At 41.9% G+C, this 27,909-nt stretch overlaps 2 long non-coding RNA genes across 2 annotated transcripts in view, besides 1 other annotated feature; one reads left to right on the top strand and one right to left on the bottom strand.

The window, feature by feature from the left end:
- Positions 1–4,739, top strand: part of LOC105372922 (uncharacterized) — a 132,858-nt gene extending 128,119 nt beyond the window's left edge. The window contains exon 8 of the long non-coding RNA XR_001738466.2: positions 4,108–4,739. This is a non-coding gene — a long non-coding RNA (uncharacterized LOC105372922). The remainder of the gene's footprint in view (positions 1–4,107) is intronic.
- On the bottom strand, positions 5–27,909 carry LINC00210 (long intergenic non-protein coding RNA 210). Its single transcript, NR_048550.1, has 4 exons — positions 27,883–27,909; positions 8,828–9,051; positions 2,505–2,616; positions 5–1,225 (listed from the first exon to the last, which is right to left on the bottom strand). It is a non-coding gene; the product is annotated as a long intergenic non-protein coding RNA 210 (long non-coding RNA).
- Positions 18,902–19,522: an enhancer, noted in NCBI's record as "OCT4-NANOG hESC enhancer chr1:218074629-218075249 (GRCh37/hg19 assembly coordinates)". NCBI's record gives its function as "activates a minimal SCP1, AML or CMV promoter by ChIP-STARR-seq in primed H9 embryonic stem cells {active_cell/tissue: H9 hESC(primed)}" and the evidence as "EXISTENCE:reporter gene assay evidence [ECO:0000049][PMID:30033119]".

Raw genomic sequence — 27,909 nt, 5'->3', positions numbered from 1 at the left:
GGAGTCATTTAAGCAACAGAAATTTATCATCTCACACCTCTGGAGGCTGGAAGTCTGAGGTCAGTGTCAGCGGGGCCACACACCCTCTGAAGGCTCTAGGGAAGGATCTGTTCCAAGCCTCTCTCCTGGCTTCTGGAAATGCCTTAGTTGTGGCTGAATAACTCCAGTCTTCACATGGTATTCTCCCTGTGTGTGTCTCTGCATCCACATTGTCCCTTTTTATAAGGACACCAGTCATGTTGGATTAGCGGCTCACTCAGCCTACTCCAATATGACCTCCACTTAACTAACTACCTCTTCAATGGACCTGTTTCCAAATAAGATCACATTCTGAGGTACTAGAGATTAGGATTTCAACATACAAATTGAGGGCAGTGGGGGGGCAGGAGGGGCATAATTCGTCTCCTAACAATATCAGACGCTGCAAGCTGACAGCCAGCAGCCGCTCAGCCTATGCTTCCAGCTCTGGGCAGAGCAGCAGACAAAGGGAACTAGTGGGCGCTTCCGCAGCCAGGCTGGAATGGTGAGGATCTGACTGCTGCTGAAACCAACAGTTCCATTCTCCCTCGGATAGCAGCATGAGAGGAAGCATAGCAATAACTAAACTTCAAAAACCACCGAGGGAGGCAGCAAGGGAGAAGTGAAGAAATAAATGGCCCAGCTGCCAAGTAATTCACTGAACGTGGCCGTCCTTGCAGGCATCACAGTAACTTCCGTATTGGAAAAGTGAATTAAATGAGAATGAGAACCCGCTAACGTGTTGTTAGCTCACTGTTACAATGCAGTGTGACATTTACTTTAAAAATCATGTGGAAGTGGTTAACAACTTCTATTACAGCATTTACAGAACTTCAGTGCAGCTGCTTTTCCCTGAAAGGGAGGCGTAAAGCCATTGAGCGGAGCTCAGCAACAGCGCCCAGAATGTGTAGCACAGGCAGCGGGCAGAGGGAAACGACACTGCATGCTGGGTCTGAGTGACTTAACCTTTCCGAGTTTCACCATCCTTACCTGGAAAAATAGGATAGCGACAATGCAATAACACATGTCAATGTGCACCACAGCCCACAGGGCAGACGGTGTGTAAATAGGAGAAAACATAGGAAAAAGTTTTAAAAGGTATATATAAACTGAGATAATTCACGTCAAAAATTCTACCTTTTTTCCATGTGTACTCATGATTTTTCCATGTGAACTCATGATATTGTGCCTCAGTTTCTCCTTCACCCTGAATATTATTAGAATTAGTAGAAATCAAAGCCTTTGGTGTGCTGAAGGGAGATAATTTCTGAAAAACTGCAATATGCAAATAAAGGCATTCTGCAAGCATTTATACTTTACTCTGCATATGCTCCCAAATGTTCAAAGAAATGGAATAATTTCTGCATAATTCCTATAAAAGGGAGAATAGTGCTAATGTTCAGCAGCCAGGTCAGTTTCTCAAAGGCCAGAGTCATTCAAAGCACATTCAGTAGATGGGAAGAACTAAGATCAACTCAACATGTGTTTGGGTCTCTTGGATCATGAGAACCTGATCATTTGGCTAGTCAGGGTGAGATAATATCATGCCTAGTTACGTACACACACAGTAGTGTACCAGGGAGAGGACAAAGTTTACTGGGCCCCCAAAGTGGGGTGGGACAGGGGAGGCAAGAAGTAAAAATGCAGGACAATGAGGAGACCTCGCTGAGCCCCTAAGGACTTCACTACTTACTTTTCATGTCTGCCTAGTTCCTCGCCTTTAAAACACCCCTATTTCACAGACGTATTGTGAATACAGAGCAAGATAATCAAAGCAAAAGTGTTATAAAATGTAAAAGGCCCAGTGCAATCGAAGGAATGATTACAAGGCTCCAGCGAGCCCTCTCCAGGCTTTCTGCAATCAGTGGAATGGTTCAAAGGCTGTGATTAAATCTGTGCATCCAACACCTCCTCCTTTCCCGTCTCCCTACTTTCTCAACAATGTGGTCCCTGCAGTTTAGGCAGCATTCAATATTGGCAGGATTTTAGGTGTTCGTGCTGCTATAAATCATCCCCACTCTGCTCCTCAGATCAGAATGTCACTTAGATCCCCCATGGGAGACATGAGGGACCCCTTAGATGGCTCATGGTTCCGGAGATTGTGCGGTGGACAGAGTGGCCTTACCCAACCCAAAACATCCCATCAGCTAACACAGTGTCTCAAAGAGAACCAAATCCCAGATTCATCCCAAATGGATTTGGCTGGAAGCCCCATTTTACATGCCCATCTTTTTAAAAGATAAGTACCTATCTTTGAAATACTAACTCCAGTTTGTTTGTTTGTTTGCTTGCTTGTTTGTTTTTCTTGCCTTTTCCTTGAGCTGAGGTCTAGATTGAGACCTTGGGAGAATGCAGAATGAGCAGAGACCAGGTTACTGCCCCAGACTAGATGAAGATTCTCAAAGGCGACTTAGCAGGCAAGGGAAGAGTGTGCAGGTGTTGGTATAACCTGCCTGCTGAGAAGGAGAAGCAGGAATAGAACAAACCTTATAAGCCTGAGTGTCGAAGGCTAGATGGAGCCTGAGATAGCCCACGAAGTTTCTCCAGGCTGGCACAGTCTTGGCACACTAGACTGTTAGCTGTGCATACCAGAAGGGCCTGGAATAATAATAAGAAATGGAGCAGCCAATGAAGCTCCCTTCAGCAGCAATCCATATGGACCAACCATCAAAGGGCTGAAGGGAATGATGGATACCCCAGCAGTGAGCAGTGTGGACAGATGACACAAGGGCTTCATGCCCCTCTCTTAGGACTTTCTAAGTCTCCTACTATTTCAGTGAATTCCAGAGGAACAGAGGATGCTGAACGAAATAAAGTTTCCATCACTCCAGCAGGGCATGATGAGAAAATGAAATTACAATAGAAAAATAAAGTTAGATGTCTCTCACACACTTGGGTTTGCAGACTGAGGCTCATTCAGAACGAAAGCAATATGCTCTCATTCCCCTTTCCTTTATTTTTATTATTTTTCTCTCTCTGTCATCGACGTCTCCTTTTTGGAAAAAAAGGATGTTGAGCATGCAGAAACAGAAAATGAAATGTAGGTGTGGCCATGGAGGTAAGAGCAGAGACATTGCCAATTGCCATTGGCAGACAGTGCCACCAAATGGAATTCCAGGGCTCCGCTGTCCTTTCAGAAGTGACGGTGTTCAAGGATTGCAAGTGCCCATCCCTGTCCTGTATGCTGCATCTGACTGCCCGGCGCCTGACACTCCACCTTTCCCCAGTCTCTCCAGCACTTTGGGCTTCTCCATCTTTTCCCCTCCTAGCCATCTGTTCCTGCTGCTCCAGCAGTCTCCCTGCTCTCTCCCCGCCAGGGCCTGTCTGAGCAGGAGGGTGTGAGGGCCTCTGATGAGGTGGGCCTCGGCCCCTCCATCACTCGCAGCCTCGAGGAGAGCACCAGCTGTCTGGCTTCATTTGCATTTTTCTCTCCCAAATAACGAAATTAGCCATGAGTTTCCTGAGGTGATGCAAGACGCAAATTTAGGCTAGATGTGTCAGTGTGTGATGGAGAGGGAAGGGGAAGGTCAGGGAAGTATTTTGATAACCAATTTGCAGCACTAAAACAGAAGGGGAAAGCAATACAAATGTTACTGGAGATGGACCTTTTAGCTCAGAGGAAAGTTAGATGAGGCTTTTAAAAGGTAATTTCCCACTCTCTGGGATGAAGGCACAAACATTTTATGAACAAACAGAAAGGGATGCCAACTAAGGCTGATGCAACTCTCAATTACTGAACATTTTTTGGCCACATACAGTAATTGTCCTAAAATGCCAACATTTGCTAAGCTGCATAGGCCAGGAAGCCAGACACTGCTGCAAAACCCCAGTGAGGTATAGAAGCTGACTGCCTTTTCCTCTGAACTAACATTTCAGCCTTCCTGTTTGCAAATAAAGCAGGACTCTGCTCATCCATCATGAAGATTCGGTTACCAGTTCAGTAAATGGTTCTCACATTTGTCATCTCTTTCTGATATTTTTGAACGAATTAATTGGTTATCATCTTTGAGGCAAATAAACAAACTCTTGGTTCTATTTTGAAGCAAGTTCATATATAAGGATTTTTAAAGATCCTGATATTATCCACAGGCTCACAAAGTTGTTCAAATGACCCTCTACAGTAGCAGAGAAAATTGGACCCTCAGATGGATAGACAATGAACTAAATACTTCACACAGGTTAGTTGCCATCCCTCTTCTACTTAGAATGAAATTTAAATTCCTTCCCAGAGTTTGAAAACCCATACATATCTGGCCCCTGACATCTCTTTAACCCTCTCTACTTCTCTTTCCCTCATTCATTCATCCATCCGTTCACCAATTTATCAAATATTTTGGAGTGCCTTCTGTGTTCTGGGCACTCTCCTAGGTACATGGAGTATAACAAAATAATGATTATTGTGCTATGAAGCTTAAACTTCACTGTGGGGGCAAGACAGACAATAGTCATTATACACCTAAGTAATTGAATTTTATAGTTTGTTAGATGCTGACTGCTATGGGAAAAAAAATTAAGCAGAGTAAGAGAGACTGAGCTTGACGGGGGTTGTTATTTAAGATAGGATGGTGGAAGTAAGTTGCATGGAGAAGGGGACTTTTGTGCAAAGTCTTGAAGGAAGTAAAGAGTGAGCCATGGGGAGCTCAGGGGAAGGCAGCAGCAAGCCTGAGATACTAAGGAGGAGGACAGAGGCCACTGTGGCCAGAGCAGAGTGAGAAAGGGGCAAGGTGGTAGGAGAAGAAATCCAAGAGGCCATGGGGCCAGATGGCATGGGGCTGTATGTGCTCCCATAGGGATTTTGGCTCTTACCCTGTGGAAGGTAGGGAGTCTATACAGTGTTTTGGTAAGGGGAATGGCCTGATCTTATTCAGTATTTTTTGTTTGTCATTTTTATCCTTTTGTTTATCTTCAAAAACACACAAAAGTAAAAGTGGCTTACAAAAATTCACTTTTAAAATACTTTTCAAAACATTTTTTGTAAGTGAGGAAACTAGAATAAAAGGAAAATCAAGGCAGGCAAAATAAAATTAAATCAAAGGTAAGCATAAATCACAAAATGAATGCAAATGTGAATTAATTTGGGAGCTAGAGGTGGGCTGCAATTTGCATCTGAGTTTCATAGCTGGTAAAGCAAAGTCAAGAACACAATCAGGTAAAAGATATATAATAAACGACTGTTCTGGGGAAACATAATCTGATTTTGGTCCTGAGACATGAAAAAATTTTCCCGAGGTTTTAAAAAGGGATGATCATGAGGTGTATCAGAAAGCATCCTTCATAACATCTTAATAGTAATAGTAGATACAATCATAAATTCCATGACCTCAGTAGAGAACAATGACACAAACTGAAGCAATATAACTTACATTTTAATAGGACCATTCTGTTTGAGGAGAACAGACTGTGAGGAGGTGAGGATAGAGTATTAGGAGGTGATTGCATTCATCCAGGGACATGATATCTTAGAGGGTTATGGCAATCGAGGTGGCAAGTGGTGGTTATATTCTTGGTATATTTTAAAAGGATGGTGTGTTAGTTTCCTTAGGGATGCCATAACAAATTGCCAAAAGCTTGATGGATTAAAATAAGAGAGATAGGCCAGGTGCAGTGGATCATGCTTGTAATCCCAGCACTTTGGAAGGCTGAGGTGGGCGGATCACTTGAGGCCAGGAGTTTGAGATCAGCCTGGCCAACATGACAAAACCCCATCTCTACTAAAAATACAAATAATAATAATAATAATAATAATAATAAGAGAAATGTATTCTCTCATAGTTCAGGAAGTTAGAGGTACTAATTAAGGTGTCAACAGGATTGATTCCTTCTAGAGGCTCTGAGAGAGAAACCATTCCTTGCCTTTCTCTTAGATTCTAGTGACTGCCATCAATCTTTGGCACTCCTCGCCTGGAGGCAGCATTACTCCAGTCCCCACCTCCGTCTTCATTGGCATTGCCTTTTTCTCTGCATCTCTATTTCTGCTCCTCTTCTTATAAGGACACCAGTCGTTGGATTTAGGGCCCACTCTAATCCATTAGGATCTCATCTCTATCCTTAACTAATTACATCTGCAAAGACGCTATTTCCAAATAAGGTCATATTCTGAGGTTCTGAGTGGGCATGGGTTTTGGAGGGGACACTATTCAAGCCACTTGACTGCTGCCATTGCTGCAGTCTCTAGAGGTAAAGGGTAAGCAGCAGACAGCAAAGTGAGATGGAGAAGGGGCAGAGAGCCGACAGGGTTTATATACAGGATTAATGAGAGGCATGAAGGAAAGAGAGGAATCAAAGATGACCTAGGGTTTTCAGCCTAAGCAACTGGAAAAATGGAGTTGTCACTTACTGAGAGGGTGTGGTTATAGGAGGAGCAGATTTGGGTTTGCAGTGGGAGTAGTATAAAAAGTTTTGTTTGGGGCATGTTCAATTCAAGATATCTTTAGACATCCAAGTAGAGATGACAAATACACAATTAGATATGCAGTTGTCTGAAACAGTTTGTCTTGGTGTCATCATGGACATATTTCATGTGGAATAGAACATTTTAAGTCTTTTTATGTTTTGGGAAGCCAAAAGTACAAGATGCCTGCAGAATGTCCCATAGATCATGCCAGCCTCTGTCATTTTCACAGACTGCCAAGCTTACCTGGGAAATTTAGGACCTTGCTACTGGCCACTTTCAAGTTCTGCCATGTACTATGTGGCTTCAGTCGAGTTACTAACCTTAGGCTCAGTTTTCTCATTCATAAAATGGGGATGAAAATAATACCAACCTTAGAAGAGTGCTGTAAGAATTATGTTAGCTAACATACGTAAAGTGCTAGTGGACACTAATAGAAGGTCATCTGGGGTGATAACTTTCTGACAGTGAGGGCCTCTGGATTTTGCTGACTTCTGCACTACTAGAGGGAAGGGCCTGGCCATTTTTACCTTCAGGACTCATTCCATGTTGTGGACCAGATTTCCAAGTGGAGCTAGAGTAAATTTCTTGGACATACAGGGAGGAGATACATATAGCTGACCTTTGTCTAGGCAGGGTCCCAACAGTCATTATGCCCAAATAAGGATATTCAGAAGGAATTGGTTTGCAAAGAGACTAATTACAAAGGTGTGGATGGGTCGAGAGGACTGCTTAGCAATACTTTGAGAATCAAAGGTTAGCTATAGCAGAGCAGCCATCACTTCTAGGCTCAAAAGGAGGAAAGACGGAGAAGTTCTTGGAATCTTGAAGAGAAAAGAGTTGTATAGAATTGCCCTCTTTACAGCACTTTGGGAGGCCGAGGCGGGTGGATCATGAGGTCAGGAGATCGAGACCATCCTGGCTAACAAGGTGAAACCCCGTCTCTACTAAAAATACAAAAAATTAGCCGGGCGCGGTGGCGGGCGCCTGTAGTCCCAGCTACTCGGGAGGCTGAGGCAGGAGAATGGCGTGAACCCGGGAAGCGGAGCTTGCAGTGAGCCGAGATTGCGCCACTGCAGTCCGCAGTCTGGCCTGGGCGACAGAGCGAGACTCCGTCTCAAAAAAAAAAAAAAAAAAGAATTGCCCTCTTTAGAGGGACGAGGACTTTCTGTAGAGGTGACTCATGGGGAACCAGGAAAATTCATACTGTGGTTCATTTTCCTCCTTCACTCGATTTGTGATAAGATTCTAGCACTGTTGTTGAGGGAAACCAACCAGACACTGGAGGACACTGGAACTCACTCCTGCAGTCTCTAGAGGTAAGGGTTGAGGAGCAGAGAGCATGGTGAGATGGAGAAGGAGAAATGGAAGCTATTCAGCACAAGCTTCTTCTACTTACCATAAACCCAATGCAGGGGCTTGCTTAAACTCCCTACATTTTTCAAGCCTGAAAACTATCCAGCTGTGTTCGACTCTTCTCACACTGCTATAAAGATACTATCTGAGACTGAGTAATTTATCAACAAAAAAGATTTAATTGACTCACAGTTCCACATGGCTGGGGAAGCCTCAGGAAACTTACAATCATGGCAGAAGGCAAAGAGGAAGCAGGCACCTTCCTCACAAGGTGACAGGAGAGAGACAGAGAGGAGGGGAAATACCAGACACTTATCAAACAACCAGATCTCATGAGAACTCACTCACTGTCATGAAAACAGCATGGGGAAACCGCCCCCATAATCCAATCACCTCCCACCAGGTCCCTCCCTTGACACTTGGGGATTAGAATTCCAGATGAGATTTGGTTGGGGACACAGAACCAAACCACTTTGCCAGCCTAGTCTTTTTTTTTTTTTTTTTTTGAGACAGAGTCTTGCTCTTGTCACCCAGGTTGGAGTGCAGTGGCACAATCTCTGCTAACTGCTACGTCCACCTCCCGGGTTCAAGCCATTTCCTGCCTCAGCCTCCCAAGTAGCTGGGAGTACAGGCGCCCGCCACCATGGCCGGCTAATTGTTGTAGTTTTAGTAGAGACAGGGTTTCACCATGTTGGCCAGGCAGGTCTCAAACTCCTGACCTCAGGTGATCCGCCCACCTTGACCTCCCAAAGTGCCGGGATTACAGGCGTGAGCCACCGCGCCTGGCCTTCTTTCCTCAAACTTTAGAAAAGGATAGCAAAGGCCTGAGGATTGGTGCAGTAGAAGCAGGATTCCACCCCTTCATCCCCAACTTTGCCCTCCCCTGTCCCCCGACCCCATGTCTGTCTCCAGATTGGTCTGTGCAGCTGCTTGCAGTACAGTGGCCTCCTGGGGGCAGCACCAGCCTTGTTCTTTTATATATAATTCCAATTTTACCAAAAAGCAAGTTTACCAGTGTCCTTGGGCAGGTTTCTTAATCTCTCTGGGCTATAGCTTCCTCACCTGTAAAGTAGTGGTCATAATACCGACCTCGCAAGGTTGTGGTGAGGATTGGAAGTCAGTGTGAGAGTCGGTTAACACAGTTTCTGGTTGGGAAGAGGCATCTCTGTGGAGCAATAGCAGCAGCCATCAAGCACAGGACAAGCCTGGATTTGGGTAGCATCACTATTTAATAATGGAATCCTGTTGTTTGTCAGGACACATCATCACAATGCAAAAGGAAAAATCTGGAATATAAAATGACAGCTTCTTGATATGCAAAGATATCTAAACTAACTTTGTGGATATTAGTAGTATTAAAATATAGGATAAGTGATATTGCAAAAATAGGATACGCTCTATAACATTCCCCTTGAAGAGGTCATTGCTAGATGCTAAAACAGGGATAGCACAGATTAGCGTGCTTCTGTACTTCTCTAACATTTTGGTGCATATTTCTATTCAAGGACATAACTTTCCTATGTGGTAGCATGGAAAAAATTTTGCTTTAAATTTCATGTTTCTCCTATAATCATTTTGGAATGTGGGTTACAGGTAATATTAATGATAAGGTTCTATTTGATCGAGACAAACTTTAGTATTTTTCCAAATCCCATTCATGGAATTCTTGGATTTAACTGTACTCCTCCAATCCTTTATCAAGCACAGGTGCTGAATGAACATCATAACTGAGCATGCAGTTTCCTGGGGTGCATCTAAGAGGACACTACTGTGTCTACCAGGCAGTGAGATCTTTCCCTGGTTTTCTCTTCCCTCCCTCTGCTCTCCTCCTGCCTTGTTGTCATCACTGGGAAAGATTTCTTCTTGACATCTCTTCATGTCAGTCAAAAGTCTAGGTCAGACACTTATCAATTGACCCAGTGTTAAGGGTAGACACTCATTTCAGCAACTGTCAATAGCTTCTTTTGATCCATTTAGACCAGAGCCTGCATTCCTGCCGTGATTTATATGGAAGCGTGCATAGACTTTTAAAGACAGGGAAACATTTCTAGAACTCCAGAAATCAGCTGATGTGTATGCTGCTGCTTCTGTTGCACTCAAACAAAGAAATCTAAGAGAGAAGATTATGCCTGGGGAATAATCCTGAGACCTTCAAAGATCCTGACCACAGTGTCTGACGTTGAAGTTGGGCACTCTCCAAGGCCAGAGTATGGAAGACTGGAGTTCATTCTGCACACCTTGCTTGTGGTCTCACACACTCAGAGGCCGGAAAGACCTCCACCAAGTTAGTTGAGCTAATTCCTGGGTTACCAGGCTGTGGAGCTGTGTTTCCAGGGGACAGAAACCACAGCTAACCTATAAACACCCTTGGAAGAGTGTGCAAAGTTACAGGAAGTGGGGCCAGTATGGGATGTCCCTGTGGACTAGTGTGGACTGCCCTCCTCTTTGATTTGGCAAAGGATAAGCAGAGACTTCCCCCTCAAGCTCAGATGTCTTTTCACCTCCACACCTCCCTGGTTCCTAACAGAGATAATGTACATTTTTCTTTCCCAGGTGTTTGTCACAAATCTGCCAATCCCTCCCTACTTGTGAGACAGGAAAAGAAATGTGAACATGTAAGAAATTCAGAGGGGCCGAGGAAATTTTCCTGACATGCTCCTGCTGTGACACCACGGCAGTTGAAGAAGGCCTGTCATTGGGCTGTCAACCTTTAACCTCCCCCAGACGTATTTTGAAATGATGTGAAAAGAATGGCTGTGCTGTACCACCAGCTCTTTCCAGCTCTGCATGTCTGTCCTTGATGTCAGTCAAAAGTAGTTAACTGGCACCCATGGTGCCTTAAAAAAAAAGCCTCTGCCAAATATCAGTAATGACTTTAGTTAGGAAGACTAGCTCTTGTCAAGTAATGACTTTTTGACATAAGGTATTGTTTACCTAGGCAACGTTCTCTTACTTGCATTTTAATGAGCCTAATTAATAATAAGTTAGGAGTCCTCAGCTATTTCTTCACAGCTGGACCATATGCACTAATTACACTGAATGTGCAAACCTAAAATAATCCATTTAGTCAGAAGAAATAGTTTAAATATGGAAAAAAGCTTGATTTATGTATATTTCTTCTTCCCCTTTATGATGTCAACTGTGATATCACAGCAATTTGCAAACAATTAAGGCAGATATCACCTCTAAAATGTAGGTTTTCTTTGTGGTTTTTGGTTGAAGTTTTCATTTGTGAAAGTTTCCAGAGTTTGTATGAGGAACTGATCGATAGACTTGCTTGGTCAAACCAGAGTAGTTCTCAGGTTGAAGAATAAACACCAGAGGTAGCAAAAGGTAGTTTCTTCATGACACTATTTTACTTATAACAAATAAATAACCTCCAAAGGGAAATTTTGGAGCTTATAAGAGTCTTTATGTATTATGTAAAACAGGCTTTTATGAGCTTCCCTTAATATTAAGTTTCTAGTTAGCTTTTAAGCAATCCTCAATATAATTTTAGGAACCAAAATAAGTATTTGGAATCAGGGCAAGACAACAACTCCAAAGAAAAAAAACCGCAAGTCACTAGACAAAATTTCCAAGGGTGACAGGACAACTCTGTTCTCACCATCTACCTGGCTCACAAAAGTACAGGGTACCCTTGCAGAAACATTCTTTCAGAAAGTGCAGGGAACACTATTGTTCCAGAGAGAGTTTAGTCTTATCAAAAACCGGTTGCAGAGAGGTGGAAACTTTAGTGTCATTATTTGACTCTTAAGTATTGGGACTGTCACAAGGATATGATGAGCTGAGGTGCAGCTGTTAAAGGAAAGATAATCTGTGATTAAATATATCATCGATCCCTTGAGCACGGTTTTTTTTTCCAAAATAAATTGTGCAGTTTTCTTTTAGGTTGTGGAAAGATCCTGGAGGAAATGTCGTAGGGAATGCTTCAGGGAAGGCATTGCTCCAAATCCCTACCAGGATTCTCTTAGAAGTCACACTGAAAACTAGAGCACTAAGACTGCTAACTACATTAAATGGAAGAGAGCGGAGTTTCTGGCATCAAAGCTGAATTAAGAGACTTCAGTTTTAGAATGACTTTTGGACTTCACCAGGTCCCCATCCACCCATGTTTTAACAAGACATAGTTCAAAGCAGTCAGAGACAATCTGAGCTAATTGGTTGATTCAGCAAGAAACCTGGGAAAAGGTGGTGCTGAGGTTGGAGGCATCAGGCTGGCAGGGTTAGCAGATGCTCTCCAGAAAGGGCCTTGGAGTGGAGGTGCACCCTGCCAGGCACCATATGTGTGACGGACATGACGGAGAGTGCAGGATGCCTGAACGAAGGTGACAGCCCAGCTCTCATTCGCAGAAAAAGAAACTTCTCTTGGAGTAAACACGAGTGAAAAAAGGTCCATAGAGTGGGCACATTTTCAGGCTGGTGGCCACTTTGCAGAATTTTCCCTGCTGTAATCTTCTTCACTAAGGAGGAAAACCTATACTATTTTCCATGAACAGGACACCTGTCCCAGTTGTCCGGCAAGGCTCTTCAAGACTGCAGAGGAATGACAGAATACAGAGATGCAATCACCAGGAACATTTGGGAGCACACTGCCAGCACATTCACAGGTATTCCCTCCTTGAATATGTTGAATTCTCACATTATCCCAGGTGAGACAGACATGGAGTTCGTTGACAGTGGAGCTGGAATTCAGACTCATGGCTTCCTGACTCTATAGCCAGTGTTGGTTTTATTGCCTTCTTGGGTTTAAGCCAGAAGAACTTGGGAAAACAGAATCACAATATATTATGTTGAAAATTGCCATTCCTTTCTAATGGAACAGATGTCATTCCCTGATAACATTTGCTGGTCCCCAAATATCCCAAGTTTCCCCCTCCCCGCCCCTGCTGGGAACTTCTTCCCTGCCACTGCGTTGAAAACCTGCTGTTTGAGACTGCCCCACTTGATTCTGTCTCCTATACCAAGAGAAGATTCTTAAAAATCTAAATGATATATAGATACATATTGTTTCAGTGCAGGTAGGCGGATGGAGGTCAGATACATGTTTTTGAAGACTGAACTCGCCAAAAAAACTTCAACTCCTTATTGGGTGTGACTTCCAAATAGAAACCATTATTGTCTTATTTATACTCAACACAACCACAAAACATTTGTAAAGCATAATTGATTGTAGATGGCAAGAGAGGTCTCAGAGGCAGGTTCTCTGACCCTATGAGCTCACGATCTTTACATCTGAAGAAATAGGCTTCTATGGGAGGTTTCTCAGTCTTCTCAACAAGGATGTTGAGTCATTGCAGTCACTGCAGATGATTGGACATCAGAAACACCTCCTGAGTCATCATTTCCATTGCTCAACATTGACTGTTGTCATCAAAACCATCTACCCATTTAGGCTTGCAAGTTGCCGAGTAGACAATTCTCACTTTATTCACTTTATTCCCCAGTATACTTTTCAAGGTAACAGAACTAGTAGATATGACTGGATGAGATGAATCTTATTTATTGACATGAAAGGTTGGCAGTCAGAGCTCTGGCACCCACCAATACTGCCCCCAACTCCGTCCCAAGCAGCCTGCAGCACCAGCTTCTCACCCAGCTTCCCTTGCCTTTGGGGTCAGTCTGAGTTAGCTCCAGGGTCAGTATTAACTCTGCATGGTCCTAGGATCTGCAACACACAGAGAGAACTTATCCTGGGATTGGGACCAAACTGGAATGTGTCTTCTTTAATCTCAGCTGGAGGCTTCAGGATGTCACTTAATTAACACCCAGGCTAGAATTTTCACTCTGGATTTGCAACCTTGGGCCAATCTGAACTGGAACAATTCCCCAGAATCTAGATGAGAAGGTTATGACCCTGGCTCTGTTTAGAGCATGTTCTGGTCCTGGGATAGAGCCTGAGCCCCACTCCCTGCCTTTATTCAGGCTGTTCCTTTCTCTGGGAATTTCTCCCCACCTCCACACTCACTTGCCCTATTTTATTTTGTTTTATTTTATTTTTTGAAATGGAGTCTCACTCTGTCACCAGGCTAGAGTGCAGTGGTGTGATCTTGGCTCACTGCAACCTCCACCTCCTGGGTTCAAGCAATTCTCATGCCTCAGTCTCCAGAGTAACTAGGACTACAGATGCGCACCACCATGCCTGGCTGATTTTTGTATTTTCAGTAGAGATGGGGTTTTACCATGTTGTCCAGGCTGGTCTTGAACTCCTGACCTCAGGTGATCCGTCTGCCTCAGCTTCCCAAATTGCTGGGATACAGGCGTGAGCCACCACACCTGGCCACTGCTGAATTTTTTATTTGAGACCTATCTTTTAAGATCCATGTTTAATTCTATCTCTTATCCAGAATCCTTCCCTGTCCCTTAGTTGCAAATGTAAGCTTATTTCTTTTTTTGAATGACATCCCTACCTGCTTCTGTATCTTTTATGACCCTTTCCTATTGTGTTAGTTGTGTAAGTGGCCACAAATTTAACAACTTAATGGAACACATATTTATTATTATCTCACAGTTCTGTAGGTCAGAAGTCTGCCCACGGTGTGGCTCATTTGGGTTCTCTGCTTACGGTCTCACTGGGTGAAAGCCAAGGTATCTACCAGGGCTACCCTTTTCACCTGGGGCTTAAGTCCTCTTCCAAGCTCACTAGTTGTTGGAAGAATTCATTTCCTTCTCACAGTATCTATATGTTTCCCTCCATCTTCAAGCCATCAGTGATGTTGAGTCTCTGTTGAGCTTCAAATCTCTGTGAGGTCTCCCTTCTGGTGCATCTCTCTGCCTCCCTTTCTTTTCCATTCTCATCAGGGGAAAAGCCCTCCTTTTAAGGGCTCATGTACTAACATTGGTATGGCCAGGGTAATCCAAGATAATCTCCCAACGCTAAGGTCCCTGATTAGTGACATCAATTACAATGGCAAAGTCCCTTTTGCCATGCAACATCACATACTCATAGGCATAGCCCCAGAGGGTGAAGGGCATAGGAAGCACAATTCTGCCTATCACACCTATCGAGCAGCCTCTGATATGGCACTACCTCAGAGAAGGTGGCAGTGAACTGCTATGGAAACATTGGATTTCCCTGATTGGCTGTCCTAGAAAATGTCATTTAAATTCTATAAGGGTGTCCCTCAGAGGTTCCCAAATGTCTGAATGTGATCCCAGAAGATTTTAGAACTTCTTAAGTATGAACTAAAGGAATCTTTACAAAAGCAAATAAGGCCTAGACTTGAGTACAGTTCAGCTTCTTAGTAGGCACAAGCTTTCAGGTTTGGGGTCTTCTAATCTCTCCCTCACCCAGAATTATAAAGATCATGCAGGGTCACATAGATGAAAGCATCTGAAAACACTAAAATGCCACACGAATATAGAAAGAGTTTCCTATTGATGCTGTAAGAAATTACTATGAATTTAGTGGCTTAACACAACACATGTTTATTCTCATACAGTTCTAAAGGTCAGCAGGCTGAAATCAGTCTTACTGAGCTAAAATCAAGGTCTCAGCAAAGATGCATTCCTTTCTGGAGGCTGGAGGGGAGACTGTTTCTTTGCATTCATCAGCATCTAGAAGTTGCCCGCATTCCTTGGATCATGACCCTCTTCCCTTTCCAAAGCCGGCAATGATGGCAAAGTCTTTCCCACATTGCAACGCTCTGACACTCACTCTTCTTCTGCCTCCTGCTTCCTTATAAGGATGCTGGCGATGACATTGGGCCCACCCAGAGAGATGATCCAGGATAATCTCCTGATTTTAAGGTCAGCTGATTAGCAAACTTAATTCCATTAGTAAACATAATTCCCCTTTCCCATATAACATAGTCATGGGTTCTGGGGATTAGGACATGGACATCTCTCAGGGGCCATTACCTATCTACCTACCATGATGATTATGAGAACAAATCAGCACTCATCTTCTTTAAGATTGATGTGCCTATCTGGCTCGGTGTTAGGGCTGGGACTACTTCTACAAGGTTTTAGAAGCTACTGATAGTAACTTTTTGCTTTCTGGCTCCACTCCCAAACCCCTCTCCTGTGGGCAGGCCAAAGTGACAGCTGCTTTGCAGGTCTTCCACCCTGGGTGTTGCCAGTTTGTTTTCTTGGGGATAGCCCTGTCACTGGGCCTCCAAGTTTCTCCGTAGCTGCTGGAGTCATGCAAAATGGGTACTTACCCTGCAACCTCTTCTCTGGGAGTCAGCTTCAGACTATTTCCTGCTATCTTGACCTGATTCTCTTCATTTCTCCATGTAGTTTGCATACATAACCAGTTAGCGTAAGTTCTATTTAATATCCTTGCCAACTTATAGAGTGTAAATCTTTTGGCTTCATTCACTCATTCACTAAAACATCTATTGAGTGTCTACTATGTGCCACACTAGCACCTACAGTCAACAGTCACCAGCAAGACTCTCATTAGACTATCTCTTAAAATGCACAGTTGATTCTCATTATGTGTGGTAGTTACATTTTATAAAGTTATTGTGAACACGAAATTAGCAAATACTTAACCTTTGCTCCTAGGAAAAATACAGGGTTAGGTTCCTGCAAGCCTCTGGTCATAACTTTTTTGTCAACTGATCAATGTACAACCTTGTTTTATGTGTGTTTCTGTTTAAAGATAACTTATGTAATATATATTGCTGATTCATTAAACTGATAGCTAATAACTATAACTCATGCCTGAAGAAACCTTATCTAACACACGTATTTTCTCTGTAAGCCTCATCTCAGCCTTCTTGGACTAACAAAACTAGGCAGCCCTTTAGCACTATACTTGGGAGCCATTTTCAAAAGCAAAATCACCACAAAATGTCTAAAAATGTGGAAAAGGTGGCACTTGATAGACTACAAAAAAGTTTACAATATATAAGACCTGAAACAAGAAGGTAGACCATCACTTTGACCTAAGCTAAGAATGTGCACTCCAATTTTTCACCACTCTGTATATGTCCTCAAAATTACGTAACAGCACCAAGCATATTGACTTAAGGATTACAAACACATTTTAGCAATCAGGGAAATTCATGCATGTGGAATTCACAAATAATGAGGATTGGCTGTATTTTATTAAAAAGATGGACTTGAACAAATCAATTTAGAGGCAATATTGTTACAGGTCTCCCCCAAATGTAATACTTTATTTTAAAAAAATAGTAGTAAGAAGTATCATTTGTGTTTATATAAAATAAACATTTTCAGAAACAGAATTAAACATGCCGCAGATTTGGGTTCTATAGCACTCAGATATCTGAAATCTATTGATTACTCGGCTAATTCATATCATTTCTCTTGGGCTTCTTAGCTAAAATTAGCTCGTTTGCCATCTGATCTGCCCTCAGTTATGCATTTTACATTCTCATTCTTTTAGCATCTCTCAATGCACGGAGGTCCCTGAGTTCGGTCCAACATACCCTGCTTTCTCAGGGTGGGTCTAGTGCAGGAGGTTGGACCCACCCCCTGCCTCATGCCTTCCTAGCTGGCCTGCCTGAAACTCACAGTGCTTTCCCAGTGGAAGAGCCCTGGCAAACTGCTCTTCAGAGGGTGACAAGCTGCAGAAGGAGGAAGAGTAAGCCCAAGCTGCTTTGGTTGGGCTTTTTAAGCATAATCCTCAATCGTTCTATTTCTGCATATATGAAATGGGAATTATGCTCACTGTCCTGCCCCGCTTATGGGGTGGCTCTTCTTAGACTGGAATAAGACAGAACATGTTGGAGAAACTTATACACTGTAAAGAGATATATTAAGATTATTAGAATTTATTTGAGCTTGTTGCTTCTTTTCTTACTTTCCTCTTCCTATCTCAGGCTTTGCACTCTCAGGAAATAGCTAAAACTCTAATAACCTTACAAGATTATTTGTGAGTGGTTCTAGCAAAATGGACATTAATATAAATCTTTGGACTAAACCATAGATTTAGGGGTTTTTCTTTCCCTTTTATTGTGCTCACATGTAAGGAAAGTTGTCTAGGTCTTGACTTCGTTTTCCTTAGTTGTCAAAATCAAGCTTTTAGGTCTTGAGTGTAAAAAGCAGTGCTCTTTTGGCAGCAATATTTCATAAAATAATAATTCAATGAAAGATTTGTCACATTAGGCACTTATTAAACACTCCCAGTATGCCGGACCCATGCCTTGCACTGCAGCAGACATAATGTGAATAAAATACCTTTTAAAAAGTTGGAAATCCTTCCTTTTTTTTTTTTTTTTTTTTTTATGAGACAGTTTCACTCTTGTTGCCCAGGCTGGAGTGCAATGGTGCAATCTAGGCTCACTGCAACCTCCGCCTCCCGGGTTCAAGCAATTCTCCTGCCTCAGCCTCCCCAGTAGCTGGGATTACAGGCATGCGCCACCACACCTGGCTAATTTTTTGTATTTTTAGTAGAGATGGGGTTTCACCATGTTGGTCAGGCTGGTCTCAAACTCCTGACCTCAGGTGATCCACCTGCCTTGACCTCCCAGAGTGCTAGGATTACAGGCCTGAGCCACCATGGCCAGCCAGAAATCCTTCTTAACTGCCAACTAATTTTACTTTTTAAAAAAGCATTTAGGCAAAGGCAAATTATTTAAGCAAAGTGTATGGTGCCTAAAGAACTCTTGGTAACTATTTATAGTGCACCTTTGTCAACCATGGGCACAACAGGCACACCTGCCCCTCAAGTATTTTCTAAGCACAGCATGGGGCCGTGAAAGGAGCTAAGTATGGGAGTCACGTAGACATGGATTTAAATCCCAAGTCTCCTACCCACTTAAATCTAGGCTCAGATAAGTTACTCAACCTCTTTGAGCTTTAGCTTTCTCACATACCAACTGAAGATACAGAAGTCCCCCATTATTACAAAAGCATATGTTCCAAGAACCCTGTGAATGCCTAAAAATGCAGACAGCACTAAACCCTATATATGCCCTGTTTTTTTTTTTCCTGTACAGTCATGTATCACTTAAGGATGGGGATAAGTTCTGAGAAATGCATTGTTAGGTGGTTTCTTCATCGTGTACACATCATAGAGTGTACTTCCACAAACCTAGATGGAATAGCTTACCACACACCCAGGCTATATGATATAGCCTATTACACACCCAAGGTATGTGGTATAGCCTATTGCTCCTAGGCTACAAACCTGTACAACATGTTATTGTACGGAATACTATAGGCAATTGTAACACAATTGGAAGTATTTGTGTATCTAAACAGAAAACATATAGTAAAAATACAGTATTATAATCTTATGGAACCACCTTCATGTATGAAGTTTGTCATTGACTGACATGTCATTATGTGACACACGACTGTGGTGAAAGGAAAATATCTTGGGCTCCTGAAATCATGAAGCTAAAGGGAAAAATCAAGCTGTGAACTGCCTAGAGCAAACCTGCCTCTCATTCTATTCAAAATTACCCCTCTGTTCACTGAGAGAAATGCATATCTGATTGCTTCCTTTGGAGAGGCTCATCAGAAACTCAAAAGAATGCAACCATGCCAGGTGAGGTGGCTCATGCCTGTAATCCCAGCACTTTGGGAGGCAAAGCTGGGCGGATCACCTGAGGTCAGGAGTTTGAGCCTGACCAACATGAAGAAACCCAGTCTCCATGAAAAATACAAAAATTAGCGGGGCGTGGTGGTGCATGCCTATAATCCCAGCTACTGGGGAGGCTGAGGCAGGAGAACAGCTTGAACCCAGGAGATGGAGGTTGCAGTGAGCCAAGATCGCACCATTGCACTCCAGCCTGGGCAACAAGAGTGAAACTCTGTCTCAAAAAAAAAAAAAAAAAAAAAGAATGCAACAATTTGTCTCTTATCTACCTATGACCTGGAATCCCCCTCCCCACTTCCAGTCCTTCTGCTTTTGCTTTTTGCTTTTGCTTGTCCTCCCTTTCTGCACAGAATCAGTGTTCATCTTTTGTATGTTAATTGATGTCTCATGTCTCCCTAAAATGTACAAAACCAAGCTGTGCTCTACCTTGGACACATGTCGTCAGAACCTCCCGAGGCTGTATCACGGGTGCGCATCCTCAACCATGGCAAAATAGACTTTCTAAATTAGCTGAGACCTGTCTCAAATTTTGGGGGTTCACACTGTACATACCTATGATAAAGTTTAATTTCTACATTAGGCATAGTAAGAGATCAGCAACAATAACTAATAATAGAACAGAACAGTTATAACAATATGCTATAATAAACTGTATGTAAATGTAGCCTGTCTCTCCCTCAGAATATCTTATTGTGGTGTACCATGGGCAACTGAAACAGCTAAAAGCAAAGACTCAGGTAAGGGGGGAAGCTACTGTCATTAGATGCCCTCCAGTGGGTTTTGTAAGGATTAAGTACAAATTTATCTTATTTTATTTTATCTTTTTTTGAGACAAAGCTTCACTCTGCTGCCCAGGCTGGAGTGCAGTGGTGTAATTAGAGCTCACTGCAGCCTTAAACTCCTAGGTTCATGCAATCCTCCCACCTCAGCCTCCTGAATAACTGGGACTACAGATGTGCGCCACCATGCCCAGCTATTTTTTGCAGAGATGGGGTCTCACTATGTTGCCCAGGCTGGTCTTTAACTCCTGGGCTCAAACAATCCTCCCCCCTCAGCCTCCCAAAGTCTGGGATTACAATTTTATATGTTAGAGCTCTGAGCTTAGTGACCAGCACATAGGAGATGACCAAATAGGCTCCCTTCCCCCCACGAACCCCCAAATGGAGCTATTCAGACTGAATTTGTTCATGTGGCCACATTCACTTACTATACATTTTTATGTAATAGGCACTCTACCTAGAGTTGGAGATAAAGATAAAGTAATATATACTTTCTACCTTTAAAGGAGCTCGCAATCTCGTGAATTTAATCAAAGAACAGGTCACAGTGATTGCAAATTAAATAAAACTTTATTCAGATAGAAATATCTGAATAAATACATACAGCCAATTTCAGAATTTCTTATTCCAATCTTTTGTCCACGGAGACTCTATGGTGATGGCAGGAGTTGTGCAGTACATTTATTTGTTTTCCCACAGAGATCTTTTTTTGAAAAATCTACTGAATTCTGCCAGAAGAAACTCATGACATGTTGTAAGTTTAATTATGTTCAATTCATTAACACAATTAGAGCTGTGAACAAATTTATTGACACAGCCAGAATCACTTAGTAACAGGCAGTAAGTCATAGATTAAAAAACTCATTCTTGTAGGCCTCTCAACTCTGGGAATGAGAAATGGCAAATTCATCTTTAGTTCTCTGAAACAGTTCTAAGAGACCTGACCAGAGGTTGCCACTAATAATTTATTGCAGGAATCGTTCATATTTTAAGAATGGTTCTTATGTCCCTTGGAACATAAATTGAATCCCTTTGAAATACTACTTTTCATTTTAACAAAATAAGTGATCCAAACAGGGAGATTTGATGAATATGGATTTGATTTTAGCTGAGCTGAGTTGGCCTCTCTTGCAAACAGGTGATGGAAACTGACTCTTGCTTTTTTAGTGAAGGCTAAAGGGATGCAGTAGGTTGAGATGAACCTAATGATCAATTGCCTTTCCTTCTGGATTAATCCTTTCTGGGTTAACTTCTGTCCTTCCTCTGAGGTTGATTTGCACAAACAGAAGGCAAGGAAACTTGATGTACATATATGAAGCAATGTTTCCGAGAAAGATTTTTAGTATCTGAGACCATTTTTAAGAATATGTTTTGGATGAAAGTTAATCTATCATTCAGCAAGTAAAAAATTTTTTTTCTTTTTTTTAAATTTATTATTATTATACTTTAAGTTTCAGGGTACATGTGCACAATGTGCAGGTTAGTTACATATGTATACAAGTGCCATGCTAAGAGGCATTAATAAATTATTAAGTTGGTTTTTTAAAATTACTAGTAAGAAGTTAACTAAAGGAAAACATTTTTAAAAGTCACATATAATTAGCAATTTATTTTTTCAGCCAGAGTTGTCTACTTCTCTAAACAATCCTTAGTTGATGTAATAGCCTTTGCAACTTGACTCTCAAAGCTTCACAAATATATATTTGATAACCAAGGCTGGGATGGATACATCACTGATCATCTACCTGAGTTTACCTAGATTTTTGAAGTGCAAGCATATTTCTGACACTAAGAAGTGATTAGGGGCCAGGCATGGTGGTTCACGCCTGTAGTCCCAGCTCTTTGGAAGGCTGAAGCAGGTGGATCGCTTAAGCCCAGAAGTTAGAGACCAGCCTGGGAAACATGGCGAGATCCCGTATCTACTAAAAATACAAAAAATTAGCCGAGTGTGGTGGCGCCCACCTGTAACCCCAGATACTACAAACAATCCCAGGATTGCTTGAACCCGGGAGGCAGAGGTTACAGTGAGCTGAGATTGCACCACTGTCTTTTTATTGAGACTTTGCCTCAATTTAAAAAAAAAAAAAAGACCAGGCACGGTGGCTCATGCCTATAACCCCAGTGCTTTGGGAGGCCGAGGCAGGTGGATCACTTAAGGACAAGAGTTCAAGACAAGCCTAGCCAACATGGTGGAACCGCGTCTCTCCTAAAAATACAAAGAAATTAGCCGGGCGTGGTGGCATGCACCTGTTATCCTAGCTACTCGGGAGACTGAGCAGGAGAATCGTTCGAATCCGGGAGGTGGATGTTTCAGTGAGCCGAGATCACACCACTGCACTGCAGCCCGGGTAACAGAGCAAAACTCTATCTTAAAAAAAAAAAAAAAATAGAAGGAAGAGGAAGTGATTAGGTCTGAGAGTTCTTAAGCATACTACCTAGGTTTGAGTCCTCCATTCAGATAATTTAGTTACTAGACTGACTTTGCACACATTTTTAGTGTTTTTATGCCTTTGCTTCTGCATCTATAAAAATGACCATAATAATTGTGTCTCTCACAGACATTTTAAGTTTAAATAAGATATATGAAAAAAACTTTAGAGTAGCACCTTGTAAGCACTCACAAAATGGTAGCAATTATCACGTACAGCCTATCATCAACACCACCCCCAACCCAGGGGTTCTTCTCATTTAAATTGTCCCTTCCCCAGGTCTAATAATGAACCTGGGACTCTCGTGTTACTTCCCAAGTTTTCCTAGTTGCTTCTCAGACAAATTATTTGCATGTACAACAAGCTTGCCACCTTTGCAAAATAAGGACTTTTTTATTAGAAAAAACATCTATATGTTATTCCTCTTCTAACACAGACTTACAATTTTCAGCCGACATGCAGTGCAGTTTAGTAAAAAGATGGAAAGTAGAATTAGACATGGAAAGTTAGATATGTGGCCCTAAAACTTCAGAGACATGACTTGAAAAATGCACCAAACACTAACTCACATTCATAGCAGAATCTTATTTAGAGAGAAAAAAAAAAAAAAAAACAGGAGACACAAAACATATGCAAGAAGCATGTCTTCAAGTTCCCATTATAATGTGTTTTTAGTCTCACAAAATGATGGGAAGTAGATGTCCTATGAGACAAAAATCAGCTGGCATCCTTCATACTATATGTTGTACCCAGCCGAAGCTGAATGTGGAATGGTGAGGATGAATAAAGCAGCAAATGCCTGTACTTCAGGAGAAGATAGGTGCCATCATATTAGAGAAAATTCAACAGAGATCAATAAAAATGATTAAGGGACTCAGAGAATTGATTTTTGAGAGAAGATTAAGAAAAATAAATGTGCAGTTTGACACATAGCCAAGGAGGAATATGAGAACTGGGTGGTCAAATGAGGTATGTAAGACACTGCCAAGAAGGCATTCCCTAGGTACGTGGAGACAAATTCCCTAACAAGGTCTCTGAGGATACATCTTCCCCAAGAACTGGTGGAGATCTCTGCCTCTACAAATATTGACGACCCAAGTGGCCAGATGATTCTTGAACTTGGCAGCAGGCAGTTAAAGTGGACAAGACAACCTTGTATGTCTTTTTTTAATGTAATAATTCCTGGGAACAAGAGAATGTATGATGGCAGAGTTACAATTTCAACCAAGCTCCTATTTTCAGGTTGGCGGCATCGTAGGAGAGTATTAACCTATTTCAGACACAAAATTAAAATAAAGGAATGAGAAATAACTATAGCATTCAATTTGATACATCTCTGCCCTTAAATGCATACACACCGTATGTGCATGTACAAACACATTTGTGTTATTATAAATATCTATATGTAAAATAGATGTGTACATGGCATACGCTTGCATATAGGTATATGTATATATAAATATATCAATTAAAATGTTTGTATTTAGTGATGTGCCATCTTTTTCCAAATTGGATTGGATGATGCTGGAGCTCCCTAGTGAATTGCCTCTGTCCTTTGTTCTGGCAGTTTCCAGAAATGGCTCCTAAGCCAAGTATGAATCATTTTTTCTGGCACTAGAAAAGCCATTTTCAGCAGAGCCACATTGCAGGGTCATTATTCTTAAGGCTGCATTACAGGGCATCAGGGGAAATGACATAATCCAACTCAATTCACAAAGAATGGCAAGTGGAGGGAGCTTAAGGCTACATCATGCCATCTATATATTCTCTTCCAAAAGTGGCAAAACTTCAAACAGTCCCTTAGGGAGAATATCTCTCTAAGGATAAATGCGGGAAAAGGGCCAGAGATACGCCCTTCTGCTACAAAAGTTTCTTAATATATTTGTTTAATAATGAATGTATATAATAATATACATATAATACTGTAGCGCACCTTTATTTATATTACAAAAATAACTATACAATGTTTGGCTGCAATTTTTCACCCTTTCCACAGAGTATATAAGACCCTTTAATAGCCATCATAATAATAAAATGCAGAGAGGATAAAATGACTGTAGAAAAATGTCAGGGAAGAATGTTGACCTATGTATTTTTGACGACGTAGCCTCACATTCATGGTACGGCGTTACTTAGATTTACTTCCCACATTATTGAAAGGATGCAGGGGGTTAATGTGCCACCTTTTCACTGCTCGAGGACTGAGAGAAAATTTGATTTTCCTCTCAAGTGAACTGTGTTGGACTCCACTGAACAGTTTTCCCAACAGGCCTCTTAGCGTTGTTATCCCTTGAAGAGGGCTTAGCACCACTCAGCATGAAAGAAGATTGGAGTAAGTGGCCATGCTATTATTGGTGTATGTTCCAATGCACAAAAGCCAAATTTTAACCCTGTGCATGCTCATGTCATTCACTGCAGATTTTCTGAAACTTTTTTTTTGGCTATTTCTTCAAGTGATATTATCACTGACTTATGCTGCCCTAAAAATGTCTAAATATTACTTGTAATTTTAAAAAATGGAAAAAAAAACACTCATTCCGATCTAAAGTATCTTGTACTCTGGGACATAAGCACACTCATTTTTCTGTGAATGAACGGAACTTGGGGAGGGCAGGGTAAGTATTTAAAGCAAAAAAAAAAAAAAATACAAAAACAAAAAACCAAAAAGTATTTCTATGTTAATAGGATATTTACATAAGAATTTTGACTGAGATAGTTGGGTAAGAACCCTCATCATAACCCCTAACTCTCTCACTCACATTGAGAGTATAAAAGGATCAGGTGTAGGAGATTAGAGGCAGATTTTGGAAGGAGGATTTCAGGGAAGAGTTGTTGCTGTGCTGTGAGTACCACCCCACCAAAGAGAACAGGTGATGGATTTTTCTTTTACCTCAAGCCAAAACAGTAAGACTCTAACAGACAACTTGGAGAAATTACTACATAAGCCACGCAGTGTTGGGTCACAGTAGACTGTAATAGGGGTCATTTCTGAGAAACAGAGAGTGATAGGCTGGCTAAGATGGCGGGTGGTAGCAAAACAGAAGGCTGAGGTTTGGAAGTAATTGTCCTCCCAGAAACTTTTAGTGCAAAAAATGCATAATTTTTTGTGAATTACGTAAGAGTCATTTACAATAGGGAGTAAATATGGGATTTTCTCATATCTTACCCTAGAAAACCACTTGGAGAGACAGAAAGACCTCAAAAGAAACAAACTGCAGGCCAGGCACGATGGCCCACGCCTATAATCCCAGCTCTTTGGGAGGCTGAGGCGGGCAGATCACTTGAGGTCAGGAGTTCCAGACAAGCCTGGCCAACACGGTGAGACCCCATATCTACAAAATTGGCCCGGGCGCGGTGGCTTATGCCTGTAATCCCAGCACTTTGGGAGGCCGAGGCGGGTGGAGCACGAGGTCAGGGCTTCAAGACCAGCCTGGACAACATGGTGAAACCCCATCTCTACTAAAAATACAAAAATTAGCTGGGTGTGGTGGCATGTATCTGTGATCCCAGCTACTCAGGAGGCTGAGGCAGGAGAATTGCTTGAACCCGGGCGGCAGAGGTTGCAGTGACCCGAGATCGAGCCACTGCACTCCAGCCTGGGTGATAGAGTGAGACTCCATCTCAAAAAACAAACAAACAAACAAAAACCCAAAAATTAGCCAGGCATGGTGGCGCAGGCCTCTAGTCCTAGCTACTAGAGGGGCTGAGGCAGGAGAAACCGGGAGGCGGAGCTTGCAGTGAGCTGAGATCGCGCCACTACACTCCAGCCTAGGCAACAGAGTGAGACTCCGTCTCAAAAAACAACAAGAAACAAACTAGAAGTGGCCCCGCAGATGACTAGCAGCTGTAGGAGTCACAGAAGATCAGCCAGAATAGAGGTGAATTCAAGAACACTGCAGGGATATATTTGTGATATTAAGTCATTAAAAAACCCATTAAGGATCCCAAGAGAGAATGGGCCATCTGAAGCATCTGCCAAGTCCCACAGCGTTAAGCTACATCACCCAACATGACCAATCAAGTGAGAACTTTCCTGTTCTTCCCTTTTCTTTCCCTTCTTTATGTTTTTCCTTAAATTAAAAAAATAATGAAATTTTACTCCCAGAATGTGCTTAATCTTTCCCGTCTTTAAAACTAGAAGGATCAGGCACTGCAGTTAACCAGGTACAGGAGGAGAAGAGTTGGAGGAGAAAAGCAAGAAGAAATCAACTAGAGAAGACCCAAGATAGGGAAATGGAGACACCTCAATTCTAAGTTTTAATTACTACAAGGAACGAGCCACTTTACTGAAATGAGACTGTGTTTTGTGGCTTAAAGGGTTACAGAAATTTTTAGTATCTAAACATGACTAAAGCAGTCAGGGGAACAACCTGCACTCTCACCCAAGGGCAGAAGATCTAGATCAGTGGAATACATTTACAGGGACAGTAGGAGATGAAAATAAAGTTGCTTGTGATTACATGCCATGACTTGTCTTATTCAATGGAATAGTTATATATACACATATATATATTGACATAGTTTTATATATGTATATCATTGTGTGCATCATCTGACCAGAATAACTTTGCCAATATATGCTGTATGTGGTTGTTGACTGTAGAGTTAGTTCCCTATTTATAGATTTCAGGCAAATTCTGAATGGCCTGTGTATTCCATGGCTTCATTGACTTCAATATTTCTATTTTTCTGAACCATATCAACACTTAGGCCTGTTAGGAAAAATTGCCTATTGTTTGTAGTTCTGAAGGTTTCCATTATCTTTACACTCTCATTTATTGTTTCTCTTCTACTCCTCATCTTCCTTTATATTTGCTTCTCCCCTTCCTAGATAACATCTAAAGTGGAGAAAAAGGGAATATAATTTGAGGAGCAAAGTTTATAGATTAAAGGGGATAATATTGATTTATTTCTCCCATTTTTCTAATCTCCCATGACATTACGACATATTTTTCTATTGTGTTTGAAAAACGAGCTATTAGTGATAACACTTTATATAATTGAGGTATGTATATATGTATGTATTTATTTAACTCTTTATTTTAGAACAATTTTAGATTTACAGAGTTGCTGAGTACAGAGAGCTCCCATAACACCCAGCTTCCCCTAATGTTAACATCTTACATAAATTGTACTACATTTGCCAAAACTAAGACATTAATACAGTAGTCCCTTCTTACCCAGGGTTTCACTTCCCATGGTTTCAGTTACCTGTGGTCACCTGCAGTCTGAAAATGCAAAATCGAAAATTCCAGAAATCAACAATGTATATATTTTAAATTGTGCACCATTCTGAGTAGCATGATAAAATCTCACACTGCCTCTCTCTGTCCCACACAGGACGTGAATCATCTCTTTGGCCAATGTATCCACACTGTCTAGGCTCCCTACCTGTTAGTCACTCAGTAGCCATCTCAG

The sequence above is a fragment of the Homo sapiens genome, chromosome 1 (genome assembly GCF_000001405.40).
Source record: "Homo sapiens chromosome 1, GRCh38.p14 Primary Assembly".
In the NCBI taxonomy this organism is placed as follows: Eukaryota; Metazoa; Chordata; class Mammalia; order Primates; family Hominidae; genus Homo; species Homo sapiens.
This window is presented reverse-complemented; position numbering and strand designations above follow the sequence as displayed.